Raw genomic sequence first — 7,598 nt, 5'->3', positions numbered from 1 at the left:
ACCATTTCTTCTCTTCCAGCTGGAAAGGAACTATGGGGCAAACAGGCAATGTTGCAACTTAACCCTGTGTTAGGTTGTTTTTTTTTTTTTTTTTTTTTTTAGACAGAGTCTCGCTCTGTCGCACAGGCTGGAGTGCAGTGGCAATCTCGGCTCACTGCAACCTCCACCTCCCAGGTTCAAGTAATTCTCCTGCCTCGGCCTGCCGAGTAGCTGGGATTACAGGTGCGCGCCACCATGCCCAGCTAATTGTGATCCGCCCACCTTGGCCTCCCAAAGTGCTGGGATTACAGGCATGAGCCTGTATGATCCCAGGGTGCCCTCTGTCCTCCTGCAAGTGCTTGTTATCTTTCTTTTTAAATTAAAAAAAATTTTTTGTGGCTACATAGTAGGTATATGTATATATATATGTATATGTATATATATATATTTATGGGGTATATGGGATATTTTGATTCAGGCACACAGTGTGTAACAATCACATCATGGCAAATGGGTTATCCATCACCTCAAGCATTTATCATTTGTGTTACAAACAATCCAATTATACTCTTTTAGTTATTTTAGGGTATACAATTAAATTGTTATTGACTATAGTCACCCTGTTGTGCTATCAAATACTAGGTCTTATTCATTCTATATTTCTGTACCCACTAACCATCCCCACTTTCCTCCCCAGCCCCCCACTACCCTTCCCAGCCTCTAGTAACCATTCTTCTACTCTCTATCTCTATGAGTTCAATTGTTTTAATTTTTAGCTCCCACAATTAAGTGAGAACATGTTAAGTTTGTTTTCTGTAAGCACCTGTTATCTTTCTGAATCCTGCAGAAACCATCCTAAGTTTGTCTTTCCTCTACTAGACTGTGGGCTGTCTGGGGCTGAAATCAATGTGTAATAGGTCTTTGTTTCCCAAAGAACCTGGCCCACAGTAAGCAACTGACATTGCAAACACCTGATTTTATAAATAACACCTAATATTGCAGACAGCCTCAGTTTCAAGTTGCTTTCACATATTTTATCCTTACTCCTTGTGAAACAATCTTTTGTGGCAGATAGAAAATTTCCCCTTTCCAAACTCATCCCTCACCCTAGTTCTGCCCACTGTATACTCTGCTTTCTGCCTCCCGGCCCCTGCTTCCTGGAGGTAAAGGATGAAAAAGATGATGCCAGCCTCCTTCTGCTGAGGGAGGGTGTGTCCTTACCCATAACATTATCTGGCAGCTCTTCACTTTCTGGTGGCTCATAGATAGGAGGCCTCTGACGAGGTGGCTCTCGCTCCCAGTCTTCTCCTTCCCTGGCCTCCTGTTGCACGTGGAAGGGGAGTGGGACTCGGGGGGCTCGGGACTGAGTCCCAGGGATTCGGTTCAGGCCTGTGCCCCGTAGTCGGCTTCGGTGATCCATGGTGACTGTTGGACAAACAGCCACAAACCTCAGTGAATTCTAGGCCCAAAACTGGGCCTCTAAGTTTGGACCTGGGAAAGGAAGCTTGAGGAAAGCGTTATGTCCCTACACGTCTTTGCTCTGGGCTGAGCTGAGATGCCCTAGCTGGCAGCAGAGACTGCCCACCAAGTGGGCCCCTGTGGCCCACTGGAGAGAGTGACCAGATCGGCCAGCTCTCAGGCACCTACTGTTCGTCCCTCAGTTCTGTTGGAGCTCCCTGGCAACTGACATTCTGGGTGGCAGTTGCTCTGAATCCTTTCATCCAATGATATTTGTGCAGACATTGTGATATCACAGTGACATCAACAAGGAAGCTTGAGGTGGGGGCCCTGCCCTCAAGATACTTACCATCCAGCTGGAGTCAGTAGCCCATATTAATAATACAAAACCATCAGAGACAGGGGGCAGGTTCCAAATCCAGGATGCACCTCAGAAACACTTGGGGAGCTTAAAAACATTCTGTCTGGGCGCGGTGGCTCACGCCTGTAATCCTAACACTGTGGGAGGCCAAGAAAGGCGGATCACTAGAGGTCAGGAGTTCAAGACCACCCTGACCAACATGGTGAAACCCGGTCTCTACTAAAAATACAAAAATTAGCCGGGCGTGGTGGTGCACACCTGTAATCCCAGCTACTCAGGAGGCTGAGGCAGGAGAATTGATGGAGCCTGGAAGGCGGAGATTACAGTGAGCCAAGATTGCGTCACTGCACTCCAGCCTGGGCAACAGAGTGAGACTCCGTCTCAAACAAACAAAAAAACAAAACCAACCAACCAACCAACAAAACCATTCAAGTGCTGTGATTACAGGCCCAGAAGTGATGTTTCCTTCTTTTTTTTGAGATGGAGTCTCGCTGTGTTACCCAGGCTGGAGTGTAGTGGCATGATCTCAGCTTGCTGCAACCTCCGCCTACCGGGTTCAAGCAATTCTCCTACCTCGGTCTCCCGAGTAGGTGGGATTACAGGCACACACCACCATGCCTGGCTAATTTTTTGTATTTTTTTAGTAGAGATGGGGTTTCACTGTGCTGGCCAGGCTGGTCTCGAACTCCTGACCTCGTGATCCGCCCGCCTCGGCCTCCCAAAGTGCTGGGATTACAGGCATGAGCCACCGTGCCTGGCTTAGAAATGATGTTTCAATAGGTTTTTGGGAGGCCCCAAGCATTTTTGGTTTCACAAATGGGCACAAATAGGTTTCACAAATGGGCAAATTAAGAACCACCACTGATGGTAGTTAAAAGCACAGGTTGTGGAGTCAGGTATTTTTAAATTCAAATAGGAGCTCTGCCATCTATTGGCCTTGTGGCCTTGGTAAGTTTATTCAACCTCTCTGAGCCTCAGTGTGTTTATCTGCACATGGAAGACAGTAATAGTTTCCCTATGTTGTGAAACTGAAATGATAGGGTAAATGTTAAGCCTCACTTTGAATGTGGGCCAGACTTAGGTACTCACTTCTGATGAATATGGCAGAAGTAATGCTTTGTTGCTTCTGAGGCTGCGTCATAAAAAGATACTTTCTGTCTGTCTTGTGCTTAGATTACTCATTCTGGGGGAAGACTATCTGCCCAATTTTTAAATTGAGACAAAATTCACAAAACATGATTTTTTCATTTTTAAGAATAAAATATAAAGTGGTTGTTAGTATAGTCACAATGCTGTGCTTTGTGCTCACCACTATTTGATTCCAGAACACTTATATATACACCCCTAAAAGAAGCCTCCTACCTATTAATCACTCTCAATTTCTCCCTTCCTCCTATCCAACAAGCAACATCCCTCCATACAACAGCTAATTTACTTTTTCTCTCTCTAGATTTGCTTATTCTGGACATTTTATTTAAATGGAATCATTTGTGTCTTCTTTTACTTAAGCATAATGTTTTCAAGATTCATCCAAGTTGTATCATGTTAGTACTTCATTCCTTTTTTATTGTGGTAAAATATACATAATGTAAAATTTACCATTTTAACCATTTTTAAGTATTTTTACCATTTTTGCAGTTCAGTGACATAAAGTACATTCACACTGTTGTGCACTCATCACCACATCCTCCGGAATTTTTTCATCTTCCGAAACTGAAACTGTAACCAATTAGCAATAAATCTCTGTCTCCCTTTCCCCCTATGCACTGGAAACCAATATTCTACTTTCTGTCTCCATGAATTTGAATACTTCTAGACACCCCATATAAGTAAGATCATACAATATTTGTCCGTTTGTGCCTGGCTTCTTAATGTTTTCAAAGTTTATCCATGTTGTAGTGTGTATTGGTACTTCATTGCTTTTTATGGCTTAATAATATTCCATTGTTGATATACCAATTTTGTTTATCCATTGATAAATTGATGGATATTTGTGTTGCTTACACTTTTAGGCTATTTTGAACAATGATGCTATGAACATTCTCATACAAGTTTTTGTGTTAACATGTAGTTTTAGTTCTGTTGGGTATATACCTAGAGTGGAATTGTTGGACCATATGGTAACTCTATGTTTAACTTTTTGAAGACCTGCCAAAGCGTTTTCCACAGCAGCTGCACCATTTTTCATTCACACCAGCAATGTTTGAGGGTTCCAATTTCTCTACAGCCTCTTCAACACTTGTTATTGCCCATTTTTTTTTTTTTTTGGTTATAGTCATCCTAATGGTGTGAGATTGTATCTCTTTGTGGTTTTGATTTGCATTTCTTAAATGACTAATGATGTTGAGCATCTTTTTATGTGTTCTTTGGCCATTTGTATATCATCTTTGGAGAAATGTCCACTTAAATCTTTTGCCTATGTAATAATTGGGTTATTTTCCTTTTGTCATTGAGTTATACAAATTCTTTTTATATTCTGGATACTAAACCTTTATCAGATGTATGATTTACAAATATTTTCTCCTATTCTGTGGATTGTCTTTTAACTTTCTTGCTAGGGTCTTTGATGTAAAACAGTTTAATTTTGTTGAAGTACAAGTTGTCTCTGTTTTTTGGTTGCTTGTATGTTTGGTGCCATTTTTAAGAAGCCATTGCTTAATCTAAGGTCATGAAGATAAAAACCTCTCTTCTTCTTCTAAGAGTTTTATAGTTATCGTTTTTATATTTAGGTATTTGGTCCATTTGAGTTAATTTTGTGTAACATGTGAGGTAGGGATCAGGAATAGTTTTTGAGCACTTACTATGTGCCAGACACTGTCACTGGGAGGCAGCAGTAACAAAATAGACATGTTCCTGCTATTATCAAGCTAAAATTCCACTGATGCTCACAAATATTAGTCAATGGTCACGTAAATGTTCATATGTAAACTTGATTTCACCACACACTGTTTCTGATCTACAGCGGGGGCCCGGAAAGTAGCAGGCTTGTGGGAGAAGGGCATACCCTTGCATGGTTCGCAAAGTTGCAATATAGCCTTAGGGCTTGGTGATATGGAGGAAATCCTTGTCTGACACAGTAAATGGGGATATTTGCAGGTTCCTTGAGGGACCTCAGAGTACATGACCCTGCCACATCCAGTGTCTTTCCTCTGGCCACTTAGGCTTCCCCTCAGTCCCTAGGCCTTTTGTAGCCCATCCCTGTGTTGGGGTCCTTCCACCCCAGTGGGTGGCCCACTTAGCTATTTTTCCTTTTAAGGTAATCTCAGGCCACTCCCTTTTGTGGGATCCTGTGGGGAAAAGAGAGAGAGATCAGACTGGTACTGTGTCTATGTAGAAAGAAGTAGACGTAAGAGACTCCATTTTGTTCTGTACTAAGAAAAATTCTTCTGCCTTGAGATGCTGTTAATCTGTAACCCTACCCCCAACCCTGTGCTCACAGAAACCTGTGCTGTGTCAACTCAGGGTTAAATGGATTTAGGGCTATGCAGGATGTGCTTTGTTAAACAAATGCTTGAAGGCAGCATGCTTGTTAAAAGTCACCACCACTCCCTACTCTCAAGTACCCAGGGACACAAAACAGTACGGAAGGCCGCAGGGACCTCTACCTAGGAAAACCAGGTATTGTCCAAGGTTTCTCCCCATGTGATAGTCTGAAATGTGGCCTCGTGGGAAGGGAAAGACCTGACCGTCCCCCAGCCCGACACCCGTAAAGGGTCTGTGCTGAGGAGGATTAGTAAAAGAGGAAGGCCTCTTTGCTGTTGAGATAAGAGGAAGGCATCTGTCTCCTGCTCGTCCCTGGGCAATGGAATGCCTCGGTGTAAAACCCCATTGTATATTCCATCTACTGTGATAGGAGAAAACAGCCTTAGGGCTGGAGGTGAGACATGCTGGAGGCAATACTGCTGTTTATGTATATGCACATCAAAAGCACAGCACTTTTTTCTTTAACCTTGTTTATGATGCAGAGACATTTGTTCACATGTTTTCCTGCTCACCCTCTCCCCACTATTACTCTATTGTGCTGCCACATCCCCCTCTCTGAAATGGTAGAGATAATGATCAATAAATACCGAGGGAACTCAGAGACTGGTGCCGGCGTGGGTCCTCGGTATGCTGAGTGCCGGTCCCCTGGGCTCACTTTTCTTTCTCTATAGTTTGTCTCTGTGTCTCTTTTCTCAGTCTCTCATCCCACCCGACGAGAAACACCCACAGGTGTGGAGGGGCAGGCCACCCCTTCAGGATCCATATTTGTTCCTTGGAAACACAGATTTTTCTGCATTTGCTGGTAGTTCAGGTTATGTCCAAGCATCCCATTTTTATTGTTCCTTCTGCCAGGAACTGCTCTAGCCCCAGCCTCTAGACTTTACTTGTATGAGTCAAATACTATTTCCTGCAATCCTTAACCTGCAGGAGATAAAAGCCAAGCTTTCTGAAGTTTTTTGTCATTTGCTTGAGGTAATGGGGAAGCAATATTTGTTCCTCTCTCATTCTAGAAGAAGTCATCTACCAGGTTGTGAGGACATACAAACAGCCTTTGGAGAGGCCCACGTGGGAAGAAACAGATCTCTCATTAACTACCAGCACCACCTTGCCAGCCTTGTGACTGTATCTCCTTGAAAGTAGACCTTCCACCTGCAGTCAATTTTGATGTTGCAGCCCCAGCTGACATCTTGACTACAGCCTCACGAGATGCACTGGGCCAGAACCTCCCAGCTCCGCCATTCCAGAATTCATGATCTACACAAACCGTGAGTTTGAGAAATGTTTGTTATTGTTTAATTTTGCAGTTTTGGGGAAATATAATTAATATACATACATTTTGCTATTTTAAAGTGTATAGTTCAGTGATTTTTAGTTTATTCATTATTATTCGACAATTACCACGATCTCATTCCAGAACATTTCCATTAACCCAAAATGATACCCCATACCTCTTAGCAGTTACTGTCGGTTCTCCCTACTTCGTGTTACCTGACAACCATTAATCTACTATCTGACTCTATGGATTTGCCTATTGTGGATATTTCTTATAGATGGAATCATGCTGCTGTGAACATTTGAGAGTAAGTTTCCATGTTCAATTCTATTCCAGTCCTAGGTAAATACACAATAGAATTGAACATAGGTTCACATGGAAACTTACTCTCAAATGTTCGTAGCAGCATTATTTATATGCAGATCCCCCATATATGTGACTGTCTTTAGGTGTCTCTGGATTCAAATCCACCTCGTTATTCTCAGAGAGTTTTCATACTGGACAATCTCCAGTGTGATATCGTCCACACACTTTTAAGCCTGGGTGTTTAGTCTTGTGGGTTTTCTCAGGGAGCCTGTTTTGTAAACTTAAATACTCACTTAGAAACGTCTTGGTATTTGTTGGATATTGATTTCACTACAGCTTCATGAATCTAGGCAATGTGACTGATCAGTACAGGTAGCGCTTCATTTTGGTGATCACCAGTTTCTCGTGTTATATTCATTTTGCTATTCATATAGCAACATGTCCGTCCTCTAGGCTCTATGCGTGGCATGGACTGGCTCCATGCCAGTCCAGAAAGCCTGAGCCCAAGTTTGTGTGTTAGGCAGTAGAAGCACCTTGAGTGGTTTGTTTTTATGTAGGCCCCCGGCCTGAGCTGATGAGCTTTCACAGGGACTGGGTGGTCACTGGTCCAGAGCTTTTGACTCCATGGGATTTTAACTCCTTCCTCCTGGAGGCTGCTAAGGCCATAATGTTCTATTGGAAAAATACAGGCGAGACCCTGTAGGCTGAAATGGGATGCTCTCATTTGAGCATCATAGC

At 42.9% G+C, this 7,598-nt stretch overlaps 3 annotated features.

Moving 5' to 3' along the window:
• Positions 911-1,445: an enhancer, noted in NCBI's record as "H3K27ac-H3K4me1 hESC enhancer chrX:23682591-23683125 (GRCh37/hg19 assembly coordinates)". NCBI's record gives its function as "activates a minimal SCP1, AML or CMV promoter by ChIP-STARR-seq in primed H9 embryonic stem cells {active_cell/tissue: H9 hESC(primed)}" and the evidence as "EXISTENCE:reporter gene assay evidence [ECO:0000049][PMID:30033119]".
• Positions 4,894-5,499: an enhancer, noted in NCBI's record as "OCT4-NANOG-H3K27ac hESC enhancer chrX:23678537-23679142 (GRCh37/hg19 assembly coordinates)". NCBI's record gives its function as "activates a minimal SCP1, AML or CMV promoter by ChIP-STARR-seq in naive and primed H9 embryonic stem cells {active_cell/tissue: H9 hESC(naive and primed)}" and the evidence as "EXISTENCE:reporter gene assay evidence [ECO:0000049][PMID:30033119]".
• Positions 5,500-6,105: an enhancer, noted in NCBI's record as "OCT4-NANOG-H3K27ac hESC enhancer chrX:23677931-23678536 (GRCh37/hg19 assembly coordinates)". NCBI's record gives its function as "activates a minimal SCP1, AML or CMV promoter by ChIP-STARR-seq in primed H9 embryonic stem cells {active_cell/tissue: H9 hESC(primed)}" and the evidence as "EXISTENCE:reporter gene assay evidence [ECO:0000049][PMID:30033119]".

Source organism: Homo sapiens, chromosome X (assembly GCF_000001405.40).
Source record: "Homo sapiens chromosome X, GRCh38.p14 Primary Assembly".
In the NCBI taxonomy this organism is placed as follows: Eukaryota; Metazoa; Chordata; class Mammalia; order Primates; family Hominidae; genus Homo; species Homo sapiens.
The sequence above is the reverse complement of the archived record's forward strand: the minus strand, read 5'-3'. Positions and strand labels throughout refer to the sequence as shown.